At 45.5% G+C, this 24311-nt stretch overlaps 1 protein-coding gene across 1 annotated transcript in view, besides 1 other annotated feature; it reads right to left on the bottom strand.

The window, feature by feature from the left end:
• The window catches only part of GALNT10 (polypeptide N-acetylgalactosaminyltransferase 10), a 230252-nt gene that overhangs the window by 39223 nt on the left and 166718 nt on the right, over window positions 1-24311 (bottom strand). The window contains exons 5-6 of the mRNA NM_198321.4: window positions 5300-5485; window positions 1131-1314 (exon numbers count right to left, since the gene is read on the bottom strand). Of these exons, the coding sequence (NP_938080.1) occupies window positions 1131-1314; window positions 5300-5485 (370 nt within the window). The remainder of the gene's footprint in view (window positions 1-1130; window positions 1315-5299; window positions 5486-24311) is intronic.
• Window positions 11064-11722: an enhancer, noted in NCBI's record as "H3K27ac-H3K4me1 hESC enhancer chr5:153749600-153750258 (GRCh37/hg19 assembly coordinates)". NCBI's record gives its function as "activates a minimal SCP1, AML or CMV promoter by ChIP-STARR-seq in primed H9 embryonic stem cells {active_cell/tissue: H9 hESC(primed)}" and the evidence as "EXISTENCE:reporter gene assay evidence [ECO:0000049][PMID:30033119]".

The raw sequence follows: 24311 nt of genomic DNA, 5'->3' as shown, positions 1-24311 counted from the left end.
CTTCTGGCTTTAAAGTTGGAGGCAGGGGCCATGAGCCAAGGAATGTAAGCATCCTCTAGAAGCCAGGAAAGGTAGGGAAATGGATTCTTCCCAAGGCATCCAGAGGGAATGCAGCCCTGCCGACACTATGATTTTAGCCCAGTAAGACTCATTTCAGGCTTCTGACCTCCAGAGTTTTAAGCATAAATTTGTGTTGTTTTAACCTTCTAAGTTTATAGTAATTTATCACAGCAGCTATAGGAAACTAATACAGCGGGAGAGCTTGGGCTTCGGCTTTGTATCCAGAGATCTTTTCCACACGTGTCGCAGGAGAACTGGAACAGCTCACAGGACAGCTGCAGGGACAGTGAGCCTACTGTTGGGGAGAAGCCCCTTCCAGAGCTTGGAGCACCAGAGAGGGGCTGGGCTCTATTTCTGTCTTAGCCACTCACAGAGCTCCTCCTTCTGGAGCCTTAGTCCCTCATCTGCAAGGGGCTGAGTTCTTCACTGGTAGGTTCCTTCCAGCCTTCACATTCTAGGATGCTGTGAGTCCAGCCCATCACCCTCCCCTAGCCTGCAAACTTCTGCTGTGGGACAAACTGCTATTTTCCTTACACTTCCAAGTGGGTATAGCAGTACGATGGGAAAATTGGCTCCAGAGGCAGACAGACAGACCTGCATTTGTACCTAGTAACCTGGGCAAATTACTTAGCCTCTTGGAGCATTGGTGTCCCCATTTGGAAAACATGGATAATAATTTTTACCATATATAGTTGTAGGGGGTTAAATTGGATCAGAGGGTAATGTGCTTAGTACTGGGCTGGGCACTTGGTGACGATGATGGTTATAATTGCATGGCAGGCTTGAGGAAGAGAGCATGAGAGACCCACTCACCCCTGCTGACAATCCTGGCAAACTGTGCAGAAGTGGGCAAGGTGGAGACCAGCCTGGTGGGCCATGAGCTGAGGTTGTTACAAGCTGGGAGGGATGGTGCTACTGGCTGGGGATATCTGACACTTGGTACTAAGTGGGGCTGGGAAGCTGGACCCTCTGCATTGGGCTTTTAAGGGAGATGGCGATCCTGAGTTGTGTGCGTGTTGGGAGTGGTCACTGGGTAGCCACTGGGACCAGCCAGGGTTGTTCATACTTACTCAAATGGGTCGCTGGGGTCAGCTTTCTGCAGTTCTGGAGGGATCGGGATCCGCTTGTAGTACATCTCCCAGTCAAAGGCTCCCCGCATGGCATCCCCTGCCTGTGTCTCGTACCGAAAGTCGTCATGGTCAATTACATCAATCATCGGGCACACAATGGTCTTGCGGTTCCGAGCAATGCGGTCTGAAGAAGCCAAGAGATGCCTATCAGATGAAGCAGGATGGGGAAGCAGCTAAGTGCACCATCCTGTTCTGCAGCTTACTTGTATTTTTAACATCTCTGAACCCTCAGTTTGACAATCCATGGAGGGGAAGGGAGACTGCAAGCTTTAAGCAAGAGGGACCGAGGCTCTCATCTCAGTCCTTTTACTCTCCATGGGGCCCTGAGGCAGCTGCACAAATAATATCTCCAAACCCCAGTGTTCTCCTCTATGCAATGGGTTAAGAAGAGGCTCTGCCTCATAGGTTATGAGGACTGAACACAGTATGTTTGAAAATGCTTAGCATACGTGCCTTATTATTAGCATAATGATCAGTACCACTATGGAAAAAGATTGATTTCCTTCTGGGAAGGCCCCTGCTCTAGTCCTGCGAGGCTCCTCATTCCAAGTCCTGAGCTTGATTTACGGCCCAAAGCAGTAGGCACCCCAGCACTTTCCTTCATAGCAGACTATGTGCCCCTAACAGCTCACTGGCACCCTAGGCTGTAATCAGTGAGCAAACGGCCCTCCTTGCAAGAATTCAGCTCAACTCTTTCAATCATCGGAACTATGGATGGGGGAATGAACTGCCCCAGGAAGTTTGAGTTCCTCAAGACTGGAGGTATGTAAGCAGAGCCTGGTGGACCAACACCCTGCAGGGATGCCATAGGCTGGGTGATTCCAAAGGCAAATGGGGGGTCTTGACTTAGATGGCTTATGGTCCCTTTTAGGCCTGGGAGAAGCTGATTCTAGAAAATCGAGTCTGTCCAACCTACCAACACAATTCCAGCTTTGGTTTGCTCTGCCCTTCTTCTTTGTGCCAAGAAGCCCTGACCACAGCTGGGGGGTAACAGTGAGCTACTGGGTCAGACAATCTGCTGTGGGAGACAAGTGGGCTGTGCTCAATGCCTGGTTGCTTTGGGCCAGAAGTCAAATTCGAGGCTCAGAAATGGGAGCCTGGTAGGGCCAGGGCAGCCAGCAGCTGCCTGGGGCCCAAGCTTCCTTCATCAAGTGATAGCACATTTTTCTTCCAGGAAAGAAAACAGCATTTTTGCTTTTTCCTAAACTGCAAGGCACGGTCCATAGGTGGGGTCATGAAATTGATTGTAAGTGCATTTGTAATGAACCAAAAAACAATACTAAATATCAGGCTGCATTTCAGGTGATAAGGGATACTGTGACAGGTGATACTCTTTCAGGAACATGTTTCAGTCATACTGCATGAGTGTGTTCATCTGTGTACTGGATTGAGATGCCCAAGGTAGTTCTTACTGGGGCACATGGTTTAAAGAGTTTGAGAAATACTGTTTTTGGCAGTATACCCCCACATGTGGATCAGGGGCCATCAGTGCCAGATGCACCTGGGGGTGTGTTTAAAAAACTCACGTGCCCGCCCCCGACCCAGGCCCATTGAATCAGAATCTCTGGAGGTTGACTTGGATTTGCCTTGTGGACAGATTCCCTGGGGATTCTTAATGAAGCTTAAGAATCTCCTCTAGAGAAAGATTTAGAGTAGGGCCTCCCATTTAATTGTTCATGGCCGTTCAGCGGACTTCATGTCCAAGGAGGGCTGGGGCTGAGGACACAGTGCCCTGCTGGCTGCTGGCTGATTGTGGGAGGCATGAGGTCAAGGTAGCTTCGGAAGGCAGTGTTCTAAGGCACTGTGCCCACCTGGGGACAGAATGCCCAGGTTCAAATCCTGGTTGGTTTTTTCACCTCTTAGCAGTATAATCTTCGATAAGACTATCTGATGTCTCTGAGCCTCTGTTTCCTTGCTGACAAAGGGGAGGAAGACAGCACCTATCTCATGGGGCCTCTGTGAGGTCCAAGTGGGATGATGGAGCCACGGCACTCAGTGCAGCCTCTGGCACATAGTCAGCACTCAGCGACACTCTCCATGACCAGGATTACTGAGGGCAGCTCAGAAGTGGGAGTGGAAGGCTGAGCATCTCCCTCACTCTGTGCCTCTCAGTTTTCTCGTTTGCAAAAAGTGGATAATGATGCCTGGTCTGCCTGCCTTACCAGGCAATGGTCAAATTCAAATGTTAATGTGGCTGAGAAAGTGAAGGGGTTATGAGAGCCGTGATAATGATGATGATGATGATGATGATGATAAAAAAGGAAATGATGATCAACAGTGGCTTCCCATAGGGAGGATGAATCCTTCTCAGTCTCAGAAATGTGTGTTCTCCAAAGGAGGCAGAGTGAGCTATGCATGGAGGTGTTAATGGTTTCACAGACAAAAGCCATGATGCGCTCTGTCAGCTGCTGACATTAGCAGGGACAGACTTTTAAATCTACATCACTGGTTCACATTTCTATTGGAAGAAGCAAAAAACAAAACAACAACAACAAAAACCAACAAGGGGATGTTTCTTCCATGTATGTCTGCAGATTATGAAAACTGCCCTCATATATTTCCATAGAAACAGAGTTAAGGGCTATTTAGACTACAAGCTCAGCTTCGAGCCCCACCACTTCATTCTCTTTATGAGTCACTGAATGACCCTACAAATGGGTTGTTCCTTCAGGACTATAAATTAGGCAATTTATGGTGAGGCTTTTTTCTTTTTTTTTTTCTTTCAGTAATGAGAGGTAAATGCAGAATATCTCTTGGTTTAATTAAATAAACAGTTTACCAGAAATTCTGGGTTATATCCTTTCTCCAGCCCAGTGAGATCGTAGACCCTTGGGGTCAGAAGCACAGAATCTAATAAGAAAGTTCCTTGCTGATCTGTGTTACAGATTTGCGGGATTATCTTTCTGTGTGTTTGTGTGGGTTCTGCTTTCTGTCCTCTCCCCTGAATGGTGGCATTCCCTAACCAGTGCTTCTCAAAGTGTGGTCCCTGGACCAGCAACACTGGCATCACTGGAAGCTGGGTAGACATGCAACTTGTGAGGCTCCACCCCGGGCCTCCTGGATCAGAAATTGTGGATAGGGGCCAGCATCTGTGTTTTCACAGTCTTTCAGGTGATTCTGATGCACGCTCAAGTTTGCCCTAAACTTCAGTTCTCTTTGCTCCCTAAGCATTCTGTAGTGCAGAGCTTACCCATCCTTTCTTAAGTTCATTTTTCTCTCCAGAATGATGACTCTTCCCCAGTCTGCCTCCAGCCCTGGCTGTGTCCCTCACCTGACTCCCAGTCTCAACAGGACAGTTCCTCTTCCATGTCTGCCTCTCAGCACCAGCACACTGCCCTCATCAAAACCGAACTCCTCAAGATTCAGGCCTGATTCAGGCATGTTTCACCCAGCCTCCAGTCTTCCCATCTCCCTCCTCTCTGTAGGCTGTGGTGGAGGGCTAGTGGATCACGCTGCCCTCTCTACAGCCCTTCCCTGATATCTGCCAGGAACTCTTATTTAAAAGGAAGTGAATACAGGGAGGCAATGTAGAACTGCGAAGGAGAATAGACTTTGGAGCCCGACAGATGGTGACTTTGACACTTATGGCTCAAGGGGACAAGTGAGTCTTCAGTATCTCAGAATCTTAGTTTGTTTTACTACATAAGGGGTATACTTTTGACCTGCATGGTTTTGTGAGAATTAGATAATGCTTATAACTGCCTGGCTCACAGTGGCAGCACAGTCTATGGTAACTCTTCTAAGTTGATATGATGATGTCCCCCACAGTTTGGCTATTAACAGCAAACAGCACGGGCTTGCTTTGCAATAAAATGAAGTCATCTGAGGAAAGCCGTCATGTCACTAGATGCTCATGTGCTGTGTGACTTTGGGTAAGTCACTTCGCCTCTCTGAGTCTTAACTTCTCTGTGAAATGAAGGGACAGGACTGGCTGGATTTTAATTTTGAGCACTCCTGAACTTCTGAATCCCTCATGGCACCTGGCATTGTGCTGGGGGCATCTCGAACAGGCAAGGGAAGGCTTATGGATGGCTCCCTGCAGCAGGAGGGGGCCACTGGCACTGGCTCATTGCAGTTTGCCTCCCTCCAAGTGGGAGGGGCTCCCTTACCAAGCAAGGGGGGAAGCCAGTTGACATTGGCTTCACAGTGTGAATCCAAGAATGTGATGACATCCCCAGTTGCCACTGAGGCCCCCAGCATTCGGGTCCTTATCAGCCCTTCCCGTTTCTTGGTTCGAAGAATCCTCACACTGGGGAAAAGGGCCATGTAGTCTTCAAGAGGCTTCTTCAGGTGCTCTATGAGACAGAAGAGGACAGAAGAGTGAGAACAGTTGCTTAGTAGTCATCCTTATGACTCCTCCCTTACATGTGAACTGCACTTCACAGTCTAGACACAGCTTTCCTGTACACTGCCTCACTAGACCTTTCAGACAGGGAGAAGAAGGGCAGTGTTCTCATCACCTGTGTACTACAGATGGAGAAATTAAGGCTTAAAGAGGTCCAGTGAAGGTGCCACGACCTGGAACAGAGAGAGATCTTCTGTCCAAGGGTGTGAACATTTGTGGTTTATGCCTGACTGGGAACCATTCCCTCATCTTCTGGTAACAATATTTTTATTTTTATCTGGGACACTGCCCCTTCCCTTCTCAGTCCATCAGACTTTGGTGGGGCTGACCCCATTCCCTGGGTCCAACATGTAGTATAGGCCTGACCAGTCAGGGCATTCCATTCCCTTGGCCACAGTGATTGTTTCAGGGATGGTCATGTGACCTTATTTGGCTCAAATAATGGGTCCTGAGAATATTCTGCAGCATTATTGAAAAATGAGGCCCTTTCCTTTTGCTAGCTGGTTGGCCCTAAGTTTGGAGCCACTCGTGACATCTTTGGTGAAATGAGGTGATGAGAGGTGGTAGGTGAATATGCTGAGACTGAAGCCAACCTGTAAAAATACGAGTCAAGACATGGATAGAGAGAGAAACATTGTCCTGATGACATTTCAGTTCCCTAGACTCACGTGCCTGAAGCAGACAGACTCCTAGATGCTCTTATTACACAAGACAGCAAATTCCTCTCCTTGCTTATCCTAATGTGGGCTGGATTTCTGCCCCAAGTCTGGATAAATTGTTTTGAATAAATATCAAAGACAGTCTCTTTCTCCTAAAAGTCTCAGCCTCAATGTTGGTGTCTCTTGATTTTAATCAGGCTTGGGGTCCTTTATGAAGACTCTAGGATGGCTGCAAAAGAAACCTACAGCATACATCATATTTAATGACGAAATGTGGAATGCTTTCCTCCTCTGATCAGGAGAAAAGCTGTATGCTTTCACAACATCTATTCAATATTGTACTAGAATTCCTAGCCAGTGTAACTGGTAAGAAAAAGAAAAGGCATAAGGATTAGACATACGGCCAGTAAATTCCTGGGTTTGCTGTGGAAACATGATGGTTTCCTTCTTCTAGCTGTGTTTCCCCAGTTTCTGACAATCATATACTACCATCTAGATTTTTGCCACATTCATCTACTTTACTACAATTTACTTAGTTGTTTTAAAAGTCAACTAAATTTTACAAGGTAAACTTTTTATTAACTTTATTTTAAAAGGAAACTTTAAACACCATAGATGAAAAATTGGTATCATTTCTAATAAAGAGCTAATAATTAAAAATCTCCAACAAATAAGAATTTGTTGTAAGATTTTAGATTTCTACCAGATACTCCTGCCTCTCCACAACTATGAGCTTAAAGTCTGCCCTCTCTTCATCAAGGAGGGAGCTGTGGAAAACCAACCAAGGCTCCTCATTTGAGGTGATCAGAAGAATGAAAAAGAATTGAAAAGAGAAGGCTTTCCCTCCACGTTATCCAGTGTTACTTTTAATGCAAAGTCTCTGAACCACCTGTAATATTTTAGGTGTGACTTAAACTCACTTCTGGGCCAGGCACTGTGCCTATAATCCCAGCACTTCAGGAGGCTGAGGTGGGGGGATCGCTTGAACCGGGTTGAGGCTGCAGTGAGCCATGATCGAGCCACTGCACTCCAGCCTGGATGACAGAGCAAGAACCTGTCTCAATGAATGAATGAATGAATGAGTGAAAAAAATGACTTTTGTGCTGGTACACTTAGGGAAACACTGCTTCCATCACTTTGATTTTTGTCACCAGGAACTTCATTGAGATGAAGTGTGTTTCGTGTTATGTTGTCTGGCATCTTGTAGGCAGGAGAAATTAGAATACAGAGAAAAGATGATCTACATACATACAACCAGAGGCTAGAAGGCTAAAAAATGCTCCAGGTCTTTTCTTGCTTGTGCACAAAGATTAATATGGCTTCCCTCGCCCTTTCCCACTTCTCTTTGGTACAGTGACTCTGTAGAAAGCAGAAATCAATTTGCCCTAATTGAGGGACTAAATCTTTCCAAAAGAGACTTTCTTGGGCAACAAGACAAGAAAGCAAGAGGCATGATCACACTCCAAATATGCTGCTGTTTGGTCAGGAACACTATGTTCGAAAAAAGAAAAAAATCCATAGTCATTGTTTGTGACCACCGCTTCTTCTTGGCTGGGTTCAACTGATAGGTCATTACAACGAGAATGAGATAATCTCCTGTACCACACACCACTACTCCCATCAGAGGGATAAATATCACCCTGGCCGGCTCTAATCATTGAGGCCCCTGCTTGGGCAAAGCCCCATCGCTAAATCACCCCGAATGCAGATGGCCACAGTCATTACAGAGTGACCAATTAAGGCCTTCTGACAGCTTGTGGTAAAGTCAGAGCAATTATTTAGGGGCAATTATGCTTCTCTTGTCCTTATTAGACAGCACATTTACACAAAATCGGGCCGTTGCCCTATTTTACCACACCATCTTCCTAGATGAGGACATTTCATAAAGGCATAGAGTTTTAGAGCTGGGGGGGACTTTAAATGAAGATGATGATGATTATGATGACAATTATAGGGAACAATTATAGAGCCCCTGCTTGCATGCGAAGCTCCCTATTTCATCTATATTATCTCTGACACCCACACCACCACCACAAACTGGCTACTATAGAAGGAGATGCCGAGGCTCAGAGTGGATGATACGAGCTGCTCAAGGAACATAGTTTATAAATGATGATGCCAAGGTCTAAGATTCACCCTGCTTGATTGTAAAAGAGCAGGCTCTTGCTACTGCACCAAACTTCATGTCTGCCTCGCTTTAGTTAGTCCCTTCATTCTACCCAGAGAAGAGCAGGGAGAGCCAGAGAAGTTAAATGTACCTAGAATCAAACAGTGGGTCCTTGACACAGCATGATTATAACCTAGCTCAGAGCTTTTTCCAGCCTCAGATTTACGCCAGCTTCATAAGCCCTAAGGCAGGGCTGACAACCTGCCTTCACCAAAGTGCCTACACTGATGGGTTTGGAAGGGACACCTAAAGCTCTGTTAAGAAAGATTCTGAGGCTGTATCCTGGCTCAGTATGAAAGTGTCAGGACTGAGAAGAGATGCCTCAGCGTCTGACACAGCATCCCTAATGCCACATACTCATCACCCCTATTCTAGGGGCTGCCCTGATTGTAAACAGCACAGAACTGTTTTTATCCTTATTACCCCTAATTTAATAATGACTCAGAGCCATCCAATAGACACCGAGGCTGATTCTGAAGGTGGGAAAGCCCATCATTGTAAGGCATTACACAGGTGTTAGATGAGCACTTATCAGAGCTGACAGATGGATTCTGTGGCACACACATCTGGTGCCCCACCCATACCCCCTCTCAGCATTTGGTCTCATGCCTGCCTGCCTGCAACCTGCCAGCATCTGCCATTCTGCCCCAGGGGCTGCCGAGGTCCATGTGTCGGACCTCGGCCAACAACCCCCGGAGCTCCCTCACCCCTCAGGTGGGATGACACTGAGCACATGCTCCATGCTGGCTCCCAGAATTCTCAGTGGACCATGCATAGCCGCCCGCAGTGCTGCCTGTCCTGCAGTGCTGCCTGTCACAGGCACTCTTCCTGGTGGCCCCTCTTTCTGTTCTTACTTATGTACTTTCTTGCTGATATTTCCTGGCATCTCCTCCCAAATAAACTATTTGCACTGTCCCAGGATCTGCTTCAGAAAACCCAAACTCAGATTCCAAGTAGCAGGCATGACTTAGAAGATCTCCAAAGCTGAATGCATGATTCCATGAAGCTCACAGTGATTACTTCAGCACAGCAACATGTAGTTCTTCGGTGCCCACTTTCTCCAAACAATGGCTAACACGTTTTTTAGTACTCACTCGAACCACAGCCCCAGAAGCTTTACACCTGTTTAATCCTTTAATATTCACAAAACCTCTATGATGCTAGTCACTAATTAGTACCCTCATTTTGCTGATGAGGAAACTGAGGGCACAGAGAGGTTAAGTAACTTTTCCAAGCTCCACACAGTAAGTGGCAGGTATTGGATTAAAACCCAGGCAATCTGGCTCCAGAGTCTGTAGTTTTCTTTGTTAAACTTTAAACATTAAGAATCACTGCAAACATATATTTAAAAAGTAGAATAGAATGATGAACCTTCCATAGACCCATCCTTTAGCTTTATGTCTCTTGTTTCATCTCTGTCCCTGCCCACGGGATGATTTGGAAGCGAATGGAGTCTGTACTTGTAACCACCAAGCTGTAAGAGAAGAGCCCAGGGGATTAACGGAGAAGGATGTAACAACTTCAACTTGTGTAACTCTTGTTCCTCTGCCAAGAACACTCCCAGTAAGTTATCTCAGTGTTGGGCAGGCAGTAACTTCTCAGGAAATACTTGATTATCCCAAGGACTCCTCAGAGCCAATGCAAGGAGAATGGGGCAGGCAGGTAACATCACTTCTGATATTACTGGAGAGAAAACTGAGACCTAGGGAAAGCCTTGCCCCAACTCTCTCAGCTGGTGAGGTCTGAGTGAGGCCAGAACTCAGGGCCCACGCTTCCCACAGTCCTCTCTCTACATGCTGCCCTGAGTGTGTGCACACGTGTGTGTGTGTGTGTGTGTACACACACACACACACACACACACACTGTGGTGTGTCTGGGGCCTCTGGCTCTCTTGATTCCTGTCTTAAAGTGGAGCCTCTCCCTCCTGTCTGGTCTGAAGGGTTCTTAGGACTCTGATGATGGTTCTACCGGGTGGACTGTGGCATAAGGAGGAGTTGTTGTGGCTTGAATCATGTCCCCCAAAAAGACATATTGAAGTCCTAACCCCTGGTTGTTGTGAATGTGGCTTTATTTGGAAACAGGGTCTTTGCAGATGTAGTTATGTTAAGACGGGGTCATACTGGATTAGGGTGGGCACTCATCCAATGGCTGGTATATTTTTAAGAAGAGAGAAATCTGGACCCAGACACACAGAGAGGATACTGTGTGATGATGGAGGCAGAGACTGGAGTAGTGAGTCTATGAGCCAAGGAATGCCAAGGCTTGCCAGCAATACCAGAAGCTGGGAACAGGCATGGAATCCTCCCGAGGACTTCAGAGACAGCATGGCACTGATTTTGGACTTGGAGGCTCCAGAACTGTGAGAGAATGAACTTCTGTTTTAAGCCATCCAGTTTTTGGTTCTCTGTTACAGCAGCCCTAGGAAACTAAGATAGGAGCAGTAAGATTCTCACACACTGGCACTGTGACAGTGACATGGCAGGAATACAGCCTGCTGGCAGCCTCTGCTGAGCCTGGTCTGGAGCACTGCACTCCACGGCCTACTGCACTGGCTAGGGCTCGCCCCTCTGTAGTCTAGTCTGTTTGTAGCAGTTCGAGCAGTCTTTAAAAGCAGCAGTACATTGCATCTTGTCACTCTTCCACTCTCCTGCTTAAATTTAAACCCTTCAATGGCTTCCCCTGGCTCTTGGAAGAAAGGTCATATGGCAAGGTGTGCACAGTCAGTCTCTGTTCCCTCTTCAGCCTCGTCTTGCCCCCTCCCTCAACGATGCTCCCTCCCTTACTATCTTATTTCTGGTGTTCAAAGGCCCCAGGATGTCTCCTTCAGCCTCAGGTTCTCTGCCCGTGCTCGTCCTTCTACCTGGATTGGTTGACATCCCAAAGCCTCCATACAATTCCTCCCAGTTAACTCCTGCTCATCCTTCAGATCCCAGTGCCAATTCAACTCCTTACAAAGCCTTTCCTGATGTACCCAAACCACAGCAGGTTCCTAGGTCAGCCCCTTGCAAAGGCCTGGAACTCATCCTTCAAGGCACTCAGCTCAGATTACCCTGCATATTTATGGAATTCCTCACTGTCTCTTTCACTCAACCCTAAGCTTATGAGGGCAAGTTCTGTGAATGCTCCTCTCACCAGGGTGTCCTCGTGCCTAGCACCCAAGCCAGAGGCGTCTGCGAACCTTCATCTCATCTGATTTTCACAACCCTGTGAGGGAAGCAGGTCCCAGTTCAACACCTTCACTTCAAGACAAGGTCCAGAAAACATTTCTTGTCCAAGGCTACACAGCTAACAAGTTATGTGCTGAAGATAGGACTCAGATATAGTTTGCTTCGTTCAGGAATCTTCACTACTCTGTGTAATCAGATCAATTCCCAAGTGGAATATTTCAGAGTTTCAATCTCTGATGCCACTGAGCCTTGCAGAAACAGCACTGAGGAGCGCCAAAAGTAGAAGAGCTCTACTGTCCCATGCTCTGGCAGGACGCAGAGCATCTGGGAGAGCACCCCATGGAGCAGCCCAAGAGGGAAGAAGAGGAGGAGCAGCAGAAGGGAAGCAGGGAGGGGGCCACCAACCAGATGAGTCAGCAGCATCACCAGCATTGGTTCTCTGGCTGCTGGGGTGCTGCTAACCTTGCAGAGGCTTGGACTGGCTCTGGGACCTGTAGGTGTCCCGGGTCTTGTCAAATCTTGGCTCTGCTTGGCTTCTGCTCTTAAAGCACCATAGTTCATCTGTTTCCTGGGATAGACTTATTCACTTGTAAATCTTGGTGTGTCACAAGGTACTGGCAATCCATTTGGAGAGAGAGGAGGGTACACGTTAGTAAACAGCATCATCTTTTATCCTGTTTTGATACTCCGGTGTTTCCAACCAAAGGAAATGTTAAGATGAGGTGGGCCCTCACCTTTATCATCGTCAAGATTTGTCAGGTGCTTACCACGTGCCTAGGCCCTGTTGCTGTCTATCATACACATTGCTTCATTTCATTCTTTTTGGGGTTTTTTTTGTTTGTTTTTGAGACGAGGTCTCACTTTGTCACCCAGGCTGGAGTGTAGTGGTGCCATCTCAGCTCACTGCAGCCTCCGCTTCCTGGGTTCAAGTGATTCTCCTGCCTCAGCCTCCTGAGTAGCTGGGATTACAGACCTGCATCACCATGCCTGGCTAATTTTTGTATTTTTTGTAGAGATGGGGTTTCGCCACGTCGGCCAGGCTGGTCTCGAACTTCTGATCTGAAGTGATCCACCCACTTCGGCCTCCCAAAGTGCTGGGATTACAGGCATGAGCCACTGTACCTGGCCTCATTTCATTCTTGTGACAACTCTCTTAGTGACCACTCTCTTGTGACAACTTTCTTAGACAAAGAGAAAATGAGTCTCATAGAAGTTTTGTGTGAATCTGTTTTCAGACAGCTGGTAGGTGACAGCCAGGAATCATAGCAGGTATTTCTGATTCCAAAGCTGTTATTATTAACCATGCAACTACACCACCTCTCAATGCCCTCAGTCTCTCTATTCTGCCTGGCAAATACCAGTTTCCAACCCTAGTCCTCTAGGATGTCTAAGGCTTTCCCTTGCTTGAAAAACTTATAGACAGGTAAATATAAACAGCAGGAAAATTAAAAAGACAAGTTGAGAAGGAAAGCTATGTTTATATCAGGACGGGTTTTGGCAGGTGAAATGCACAGGCATTTAAGCATCATTTACTGTTTGGAAAAGGGAAACAGATCAGCCCTTCAGGAAAGACATACTTTTTCTGGCTCAGAGCCCCAGGAGGAATTTTAGAGAGTGGCAGAGCTGAAAGGAAGCTCAGAGTTCAGCTAGAGGACCTTTGTTTTCCTTTGACATGAGTCCGCTTGTAAGACAATTTCAGGCATAATGGACACTTTTGATGAGCAGCTTGGAAAGCCGGCCATTTCTTTTTTTTCCCTTCCTTTCCTCCTCCTCTTCTTTTTGATAACAGCTTTACTGAGATATAATTCACATATTATGCAATTCACCCATTTAAAGCATACAATTCAATATCAACCAGCCATTTCTTGCACCATTGAAAGCAGAGAGCCGACTGAACCTCAGCGAGAGCATCTCTGCTGAGGAGAATTCAGTCCAGTTTAATCAAGAAAGCATTTCCTGAGCTCCTGCTGTGCCAGGATCTATGCTGGGTACATTCCTTTCTGGTGATCTCACACAGTGGTTTTCAAAGTGTGAGTCCAGACCAGATGCATCAGCATTATTTGGGAATTTAGTAGAAATGTCCATTCTTAGGCCTCACCTTAAACCTACTGAAGCAGATGGGTGGGGCCCACTGAGCCGGATTTTAACAAGCCTTCCCTGTGATTCCTAGGCATGCTAAAGGTTTGAGGATCAGATCACTGGTGTGACATAATGCCGAAGGTGAGTTTAGAAAAATCAACCTAGGCCATCTTGATCATATTAGGAACTCTAAATGATCAAAACCAGAATCCCATGTTTCCTGCTAGAATAATAGAAAAATGAAGTTCTTCTTTTTGTTTTTTTTGAGACTGAGTCTCTCTCTTTTTTTTTTTTTTTGAGACGGAGTCTTGCTCTGTCACCCAGGCTGGAGTGCAGGGGCGCGATCTCGGCTCACTGCAACCTCCGCCTCCTGGGTTCATGCCATTCTCCTGCCTCAGCCTCCTGAGTAGCGGGGACTACAGGTGCCCGCCACCACTCCCAGCTAATTTTGTTTTTGTATTTTCAGTAGAGACGAGGTTTCAACATGTTAGCCAGGATGGTCTTGATCTCACGACCTCATGATCCGCCCACCTCGGCCTCCCAAAGTGCTGGGATTACAGGTGTGAGCCACTGTGCCTGGCCAAAACTGAAGTTCTTTAAGGAATCCAAGACTATTCTGCCCCCTACCCCAGCAAACCTGCGAGCGGGTGGGTGCTGGCTTGGGTGCCCTCCCATCCCTCCTCCTGTCTCTGAGCACAGCCCTCAGATTCACACTGGTCCCCACCTAGCCTGGCTGCTCTGTTTCCGTCCTCTCACCTTCAAGTGAGAAAAGGTCTGACAAATGAACACATATCCCAATAGGGCTCACAGCAAAGGTTCTCAAACCTCAGCCCCAAGAACCCCCAGGGAAACTGGTTTCCACACAGATGCTGAGGTAGTCTCACAGATTCTGATTCTACATGTCTGGGAACAGTGGCTTTCAAACCTTTGACTGTGACTCATAGAAAGAAATACATTTTACATCATGACCTGAAACAAATATATACAAAAGTATACACACACATATAACTGAAATACAAGGTGTGATTCACTGGGATACATTTATTTTTTTCTATTCTATCCTCTTGTATTCTATTTTTGTTAAAATCCTGGACATGATGACCCTGTAAACTGATTTTATGACCTTCCAATGAGTCTACTCCTACCATCTGAAAAACCCTGGCCTAGGGCACAGCCTGGAACCTATAATGTTAAAAGGTGGCCCACTTGATCCTGAGACAGGTGGTCCTCTGCCACGGCCCCTGACCCAAGGCTAGTACTCTGCATGACATACCATGGTTACTATTGCTATTGTTACTAGCCTTCTGAGAATGGACAACAATGTGCCCAGGGTTTTATACACAGGACTATCATTGCATTGCTTACCTCAATAGATCATTACCAGAATCATTTTCTGTTGACTTGAGATCTCTGAAGTACCAATAGGTGGAGGAAGAGGTTATTCCCAAATAGCCAATTTCCTTCTCCCAAAGACTCCAGAGGGCCTTTTTTAGTTGTCTTTCCTACCACCATAAGAGTTGCCAGGAAAAGGTGTGTATTGGAGCTTTTGGTATCTATGGGCCTATTGTCTCAGCAGCTGGAAAACATCAAGGACACAGCAGATCTGAGGGAATTGGACCTAACCCCCTTAGTCAAAGACCAACATAGCTCCAACATCCGGCTGACTCACTCACCCTCTAATTCAGGGGTTTTCTTTTTCTTTTTTAAAATTTTTATTTTTACCTCGTAGCTCCAGTTTAAAGGAAAATTCAGGGGTTTTCAACCTTCTCCAACTCAATGCCCCTTTATGAAACAGCTGTTTTATATGGCACCCTTTAATACCTTAAAATAAAATTAATATGTAGTATAACCTGCCTAACACCCATTTCCAAAAATTCTAATAATGTTCCAATTGTGATGTAAAGGAGAAATAATAAAATAATATGTGTTTCAACATAAATGCTTAGGCTGACTACAAGAAGACAGAGAAGAAGCCAAATGCTCACACTTGTAAGTGCCATATATTGGACTGCATATTATTTTACCTAACAGACAGGGCTGGCAACTCAAGTGCCCTAAGCAGCACTGCTGTTGATGACATGATTGTCTAAAACAGCAAACAACTGCTGGTGGAGTTCCAACCAAAACGAGTACTATCTGCTCTTGATATACATGCCTTCCTGGACAAGTCAGTGCAGTGGCAAGCATGGGAGGAGACAGCAAAGAGATGGAGACAATTCCTTTCACTAGAGTTCAGCTTGGAAAGAATAGTGTATTGCCTCTAGGTGGTTTTGGGTGGTAGCTGACAACAAGTGAAGAGGAGTTTGGGTGGAATGCTAATGGACATGTTCCATTAACAAAATAAATTTCTGGGGGGAAAATTTAGAAAAAAGGAGAGAGGAACCAGTAAGGCTGAGTGTGGTGTGGAAGGAAGGGTGAGAGGGCAGACAGTCCCCAGCGGTGTGGCCTAGGGGACTTTGGAGAGCAGGAATGTCTAGAGAGATTGCGAGTGGGCTGCTATAGAGTATGTGATGTAAAACCCCTACTCTGCCTCTTCCATCAAGTGCTCAGTTAAGTTTAAAGTCTTCCTTGATGATGGTTTGGTGCACGTGGGTTCTTTCAGGGGACTCTAGATTACTGCCCAAGATCAAACAGCTCATGTTGGCTTCTCTGGAATTCAAGTCTAAGTCAGTCTCTTTTCACCATCCCTTAACAATCAAGGCCTCCTGGACTGATTGCTTAGATTAACATGTTAAGTTTATTTCTCTGGCCTTTTTTCTGAAAATGAGTGGCTGGAATGACTTGCAACCTAAAGAAAGATTGTACACCTTCCCCAAATATTTGCTTTGAAACCACAGGCCCCCCTGTTCTTAGGTATCACGCTACAAATTAACCTACTCCTCGGGTGCAGGTATTTGGCCTGAACATGCCTTTGGTGATTTTAAGAATGAATTATTCTCCTTCTTCAAGCAGTCACATCCACCAGCCAGCTCCCAGAAATAGAAAGCACTTCATCACACAAATTAACTCCTCTCTCCTATTTTGCAGAAGATGAGTAATCTATTAAAAAAGAGATGCTATTATCTAAACAGGCAGCCCTGTCTGCACTTTTAATTTCAACTAAATGCCTTGGTCCCTTTTCAGCAGTGGGCAGGGCCATAAATCTGTTTAATAATCAGACGACGAATAAAAACACTCCAGAAACCACCCCTATCAAGTTAATTACAGCCTCCTCTGTTTTCTGAAAGTGACTCCCCACCAATCAGCTACAAATAAGAAGAGAAGACCAGGCCCTTTGGACTCAGCCCACTTCACTTTTTCACCCAGTTGGAGCCTATACAGGAGAGCAGATTCATGGGCAATTCCAGTTGTGGGCTTCTGGTAGCTGCTCTTAAATTATGTCAGGTTGTCAGGTGTCGGAGAGCAACATGTATTTCATTTAGGATGCCGGCTTCCATGACTATCGTTTAAGGTGTTATTAAAAAAGAAAAAAAAATCCTTCCACTTCAGCAACAGTGTTGGCCTGTCAGTTTCATATTTGTTAAAGGGCAAAAGTATTCTCCTGGGGGAAGTTTTCCTGCTCAGTGCACAGGAAGAGAAAACTGAACATATGTCGGAACTTTCCTTACGACCTCCTTCAACCACCACTGCCCCCTCCCCATGCAAAACACCCCAACCCAATCCAACACCAAATATTTTGAAACCTCCCATTCAGGGCCTCTTCCTTCTGCTTCTGCATTGGGATCTTCTGCCACTTACAGAAATGTCCCCTACCAGAGACTAATCTGATATGCACAGGTCTTCTGGTATCTAATCCCTCACCTCTCATCTCATTCACACTACCGGTGCTACAGCACAGGTCTACTGATGTCATATGGTGACAGTTCAGGCTTCTCAGGATGGCCAGAACCAACCTTTCCAGAACCATCTCTCATCTCAGCCCTGCCCCTGGTGCATTCTCTGCAGACACTGCTCGACTAATTTCCTTGCTTTCACTCTTTTACTCTTGCAAATCTGTCAGCTCAGAGCATCCTTGTCTGCTTCTCTGTCTCCAGGAATCCTATTCTATTCTTCTCCCCAGGCTCAGCGCAAAGTGCTCCTGAAGCATCATCTGCATGTTCTGATTTGGGACTTGTGTCGATCTGCTTGGCACAAGCTTCTTGAGGGCAGGACTCAGAGTGATTGATTTTCCTCACAGCACCTGGCATACTGTAGGGGCACACAGATGTTCGATCATAACTTAACATATTTTGCTTGTCATTTGCTGCTTTTATTTTATAAAATCCATATACCCAATGTGCTTCCAAAGACTCAACATGTCACCCAGGGGAAGATATAAAGCATGTTTGGGAGGCCTTGTCACTCAGGTACACTTGTGAGTCTCCAAACATAGGAGGTAGCGTCAGGAAGCAAATGCTATCATCTGGGCAGGATATTTATCAATAAAATGACCACTCATGAAGTTCCCACTCAAACCTCTCTCCCCACTTAACATCTCTGCCCGTCACATGCAAGTGTGTTTGTGGATGGTTGTGTTTCAGGTGTGCCCACCCTGTTAATATCACACATGCAGCAAATGCAAAGGCCCTGAGGCAGACTGGGCAGGACCTAAAGCAGTCACTGATTTTGTCATTGTTGTTAGATGTTTGGAGCCTTTTTTTTTTTTTTTTTTTTTTTTTTTTTCAGATAAACGCTGGCACAAAATCCTTTCAGGATATGCCTTGAAGATTCAGACGTCCTGCAGGGAAAGACACACCAAAATTGATACAGGTGGTCTCCATTTTTGGACATAAAATATTCTGGATATTTCATCTTTTTCTTTCTAAAATGGAAAGTCTTGACTATTTTTTTGTGATTCTAAATATGATGCATTTTTGAAAAAAAATGTTTTAACCATCATGGCAGAATGTAACATCTGAGTGACAAGCTGTGCTAGTCACACCCACCAGAGATGGCCACTCTTAAGTTTGCTCTATTTCTCACCCAATATCCCAATCTTCTTATGCTTATTTCTTCTGAAACCTGTTTTGTCCAGTTGACAATATGCCAAAATCATCTTTCTATAACAGTACATGTAGCTCTAGCATGTCCTTTTTCTTTTCACTATCTCACTTTATCTTCAAATTAACTGAAGCCAGGGAGGTAGCCCCACTTTGACTGATACAAAGACTGAGGTTGGGAGAGAGTTCTTCTGCCCAAGTGGACGGTTGGTAGGTTAGAACACTGGGCTCTGTGATTCAACAGCTTATGCCCTCGCCCTGACACCATGCTCTCTGCCTCCAGAAGACAAGACTAGAACCAGAAGATATACTTTGCAGAGAGCTAGAGTTCAGCTCCATGTAAGGAAAAAGCCTTCTGATAAGAAGAGCTGTCTCACAAAAGAATGGGATAGCTCATAAGACAGTGAGTTGTCCATCACCGGAAGAATTCAATCATAGGTGAAACTTACTATGCTAACCATAAAAAAGACTCAAATATTGGAGAAATAGTTGAACTGTGTAGCCTCGAAGACCCCCCTCCAGCATTGGAATTGTATCATTTCACAGTTCCAAGATGCTATGCCTCTCTGCAATTGGTTCTAAGAATGGTGAAAATCCAGCTAAGGACTTAGTCCTTTAACCTCTGAGCTCCTTCTGAGATGCATTAGTAATTAGCGTAGAGAGACTGTGGTTTTCTTTTCATAAGCTCTAGCCTGTTTTATCTACCCCTGTAATTTTCCCCCTACCCTAGCAGTGAGCAATTTTTACTTTTGAATGTTTAATTTGTCAAAGGCCTGAAAGCACACTGAATGCTGCCTCCGAGAGAACTCCACAATGTGGTGTATGTGAGGCAACGTGGGCTGGGAGGTCTATGCATTCTGAACCCAGACCAGTGATGGACAGAAAGACTGTTTGGTCCTCTGGTTATGTATGAGCTGCTCGATGCCCAGGTATTCGATTTGTTAGCACAGGCTCAAACACAAACATGAACAAACACATGCACACATCCCAGTGTCCATTGTTGGAATGAGGGGGATACTTTTCACCTCCTGCTGGGGTGCCCAGTTTGAACAGAAGGAGCTTCTTATATTTGGGGTATCATAAGCTCAAAAGCAAACAAGGAGCACTGGCCTGGACATGCTGTGGCAAAAGACTCTCAGCCCTGGAGAGGCATCTTGTTCCCATTCAGGGACCCAGATGGCTGTCTGGGTGGAGCCATAGATGACCCACATCACCCAGAAGCCAGGTGGTGTGATGTGAGTCTTGCCAGCAATGCCACATGGCTCCTCAGTACCTATTCCATTTGAGTCTGTCACAGTGCCTGACCTTCCACCACTGGTTACCCGATTCTTGTGGGTCACCGCTGTCCTCCTCTGGGGGGCATTAAGAAATTATACAAGTCATATTAATAGGTGCTCATGTTAGAAATTGTTGAAAATCAGATATGTAAACATAAATTAAACACCACCAATTAACCCACTGTCTAGATGGCCTCTTTTAATACCTATGGTCTGTTAAGGCTTTCACGTTCTTTTAGCAGAAAATCCTTATGGACCAAAAGGTCATCCTTCCTTATTCCTCACTGCACAGTTCAGTACAAAATAACATTTAACTGAGCCTCCAGTATTTTTCAGGGATGATATGAGCCGATCAGAAACCAAGTAACCAAGTTCGGGTCCGAGGAAGACATTTCTGCAATGAGAACATGAACAGCTGACACATAGTAAGAGTGTACTCTGCACCAGGCATGTGCTAAGCATCTTCCATGTATTATCTCCCTTAATGCCCTTGATGATTTTACAAGGTGGGACTGTGATCCCCATTTTAGAAATGAGAAAATCGAGGTTTGGAGAGTTGGAGGATCTTATCATTGCTGGTAAGTGACAGAGCAGGGACTGAATCCAGGCCGGGTTGACTCCAGAGCCTGTGCTCCTAACTACTGTGCTTTCCTTTCATAGTGGAAGCATATGCAAAGATCAGCAGCAGCTCTCTAGGAAAGGATTAACTTTGGAGAGGGGGACCAAGGGCAGTGGAGGTCTCCTAAGCAGAGTTTCAGTGAAGCTCACCAGGGTGGACATTCTAGATAGGAAAAAACAACCCATGGAAAGATACAGAGTTTTAAAACATCTGAGTACACAGGGAATTAAGAGTCCCATATATTCTCTCTAATGATAAATCTTTTTAATAAACAATTTATAATTTCTTTCAATTAAAAGGGTGCATTTCTTAAGTATGTGTGAGTATCAAATATAGGCTTTGCTGAGAAACAAAAATTTAGCCTATAAAGGATTAAGACACAAATCTCCAGCTGGGAGGGGAAGATGTTAAATCTCTAAAACATTTCAGGAAATAAATTCTTGGATCAACCACTTTCTTTTCTCCAAGATAGTATTGTTTTTTAATTAAATGAGAAATACATAAACATATTCTCCTTGTGAAAGGAAATAAAACATTATAAATACAAAAAAGGGTGAAGTTTCTTTTGACCATGATCTTTAATCTGGTTTGGCTCCCCTGTCTCATAGGTAACCACTGTTGGGACTTCGGAATATATCCTTCTGTGTCTTTTTCTATATGTTTACACACATATACTTGACACTGAAAAGATATGGTATTGGTTGTATTCTGTGCTGTATTATATAAGTGGTTGTGCAACTTGCTTTTTTTTCACTTTATAATACATCTTAGAGCTCTGCTTATGTCATGTGGATCCAGTGCGGTTTTGTTTTGTTTTTTTTTTTTTTTTAGATGGAGTTTTGCTCTTGTCACCCAGGCTGGAATGCAGTGGCGCAATCGTGGCTCACTGCAACCTCCGCCTTCCGGATTCAAGTGATTCTCCTGCCTCAGCCTCCCAAGTAGTTGGGATTACAGGCATGTGCCACCATGCCCGGCTAAATTTTTGTATTTTTAGTAGAGACAGGGTTTCACCATGTTGGCCAGGCTGGTTTCGAACTCCTGACCTCAAGTGATCCGCCTGCCTCAGCCTCCCAAAGTGCTGGGATTACAGGTGTGAGCCACCGCACCCAGCCCAGTGCATAGTTTTTAATAGATTCATCATATTCCATATTAGAGATATGGCATTGCTTATTTCCCTTAGCCTACTGATGAATACTGAGGTTTCTTCTAATTTGGTACTATTACAAACAGTGCTGCAGTGAGCATCTTTACGTATGCTCATGGTGTAAATAGTGAAGAATTCTCCAGGATAGACACTGAGAAGTAGGATTCCTGGATTATAGAATATGCACATTAAAATTTTTTTGATACTTCCAAATTGCCCTCTGAAGTGGCTTTCCCAATTTTAGTCCCACCACCAAGCAGTTCCTATTTAGAATGGTGAGAAGAATCTTGGGAGGGAAGATGGGGTAGAGTGAGAAGTGAAGCTGTATTTTAAATGGCATACTTGATATAATAAAATACTTAGAAAAATAACTACTGTTTTCATAACACAAACTAGACAGGCCTCCAGCTCTACTTTTAGAGCTGGTCAAAATCTTGGCTTGTGGTGACACACAAAAGGATGGCCCTTGTCAAAGAGGAAGCCATACCCTGGCCCCCCAAGAATCTCTGGTAGGGTGATGGGGAAAGGATATAGGATTTACAAGTTTTTAAAAAGGAAGTGTTTTTTCTTTTCTCTCTCTCTCTTTTTTTTTTTTTTTTAAAGAAAGAAACAGAGTCCTTTTAGGATTTAGGTGAAGGTCACTGACTCAGGGCCGGGAAGAAGGGGCCAAGTGGGTAGACTGCACTCTCCTCCCCAGGCCTCCAGGGCCACCTTGTGTTTTAGGAGGCACGTCTGGTCACCATCAAAATCGGGCTGAGCATGAATTCCCTGGGGCCAGAGGCAGGACTGCTCCACCGACCTCATAAATCTCTCTAGGGTCAAACACTCCTGCCCAGCTGGTCTGAGTGGAGAGGGCTTGTTTAACTCACACAGCCCAAGATTTCAGGGGCAAAATGAGGCTCTAGCAAAAAGCTGCCTCTGCGGATGGCTGTGGTTAGGAGGGTGCGTTTACCATGGCGTTAATGGTACATGAAGGAGGAGACAGCCCTTCAGGAGAAAGCCCCACTCCGCTCCAAAATGTGCACCAATTAAGATGATTACTGGTTTCCTTACAACACAAATACTAATGGCCTGTCACACTCTGGCATATTTTTCTTGGTAACCTTCAACACCGAATGATTAATAAGGCTCTTGTGGCAAAGGCTCATACACACACAGGCAGAAAACAGGGGAAAAAATAATACAACACTCTGACGAAGGCATATTCAATGAGGCAGGGGTTTGTGAAAACAAGTTCTGAAGGACCGTGACTGTTTGGGAAGCCCTGGCCATGATCAGTGGGGAGAGTGTCCTGAGAATGCTCTGAGCAGTTAGGATGAGGACTAGCCATGCGACCCCACAAAGGTCACTTTCCTGCCCTGGCCCTCAGCGTCGTGTCTGTTGAATGGGGCAGTAATCCCTCTCCTGCTTGCCAGGCAGGATGTTTGTACTGAAGGTGGCTTAAAGATGCAGAGAGTGGGAGCACCGTCATTACTGGCAGTGGTGAAAGTGGAAGAGGGCACACAGGAGGAGTGGGAGGTAGCACAGTGTGTGGGAGAGAGGCTCTATGTGTGGGAGAGAGGCTCTAAGAGCAGCCAGACTTAAGTGGAATGTCTACTTTTCCAACAGACCAGCAAGCTCTGCTAAGTTACTTAAATTTCTCTAAGCTTCAGTTTCCTTATCTGCAAAGTGGGAATAATAATAGAAGTGTTTTTCACTGGGTGTTAGGATGATATAAGGTGATAACAGAATGCTCAGCAGGCCCAGTAACTGAGACAGACCAACATTTACACTTGTTGGTGGTGATTGTTATTATTGTTGTTGTTACTCTAAGCCAGGAGAAATGGCACCAGCCTTGGAGCCCCCAAGGAGACCCCACTTTCCCAATTTGCATTTACTAGAGACACGTCCCCCCATGCAGAACATTTCAAATCCCATTCCTTCCCCTTATCAAGATCAGACGAGGCCTCCAATTGTGCTACACACAATTCCCTCCCAGTGTTCCATGGGCTTTATTTAGGGAGAAAAATGGTAAAGAGTGTTTTCCACTTGGCCTTTTCAGAAATGTGAACTGCCGGGTAGAGGTACCAATACCTCACTGATGTTTTTTGTGTAATATTCAGCAATTAATGAGGATGTAGTCAGAAGAGGTCCTGCCTGACCATTCTGGGGTTTTCTTTCCCTATTCATTTTATGTAAAGTACTCTGCAAAGCCCTCTCTTCCACGCAGTTGTCATCCCTAAACCCTTCCCATGAAGAAATTGTGGAGCACGCTGAGCCTTGGGTAAGTCAAATGTCCATCTCAGCTCACACAGGGAGCGGCCCCTGTGGGATGCTTAACGGGCCCCCAGGTTGGAGGGTTGGGAGTCCTGAGAGCAGAAGAGGGGCTCACACACTTCCAGCGCCAGGCAGCTAAGGCATATGTGGGAAATGGGCCATAGGGAAGCCTGCAAACCCACCTGTGGCCTCGTGGGAATGAGGTCTCAGAGATGATATCAGGAGAACTGGAGAAGCAGATTTTTATGGGAGTTCTCAATATTGGCAATTCAATCAGATTTTAAAAAATTATTTTGAAGGCCAAATAAGGAGGTTGATGGGGCTGTTTCCAGCACCTTGAAAGGAACATAAACTCTTCAAAGCCAGAAGTTTATGACCTAGAGCAAAGGAGGAGTAATTCACCAAATGGAGTTCTCTAAGACCAAAGGC

This window comes from Homo sapiens, chromosome 5 (assembly GCF_000001405.40).
Source record: "Homo sapiens chromosome 5, GRCh38.p14 Primary Assembly".
Classification (NCBI taxonomy): domain Eukaryota; kingdom Metazoa; phylum Chordata; class Mammalia; order Primates; family Hominidae; genus Homo; species Homo sapiens.
This window is presented reverse-complemented; position numbering and strand designations above follow the sequence as displayed.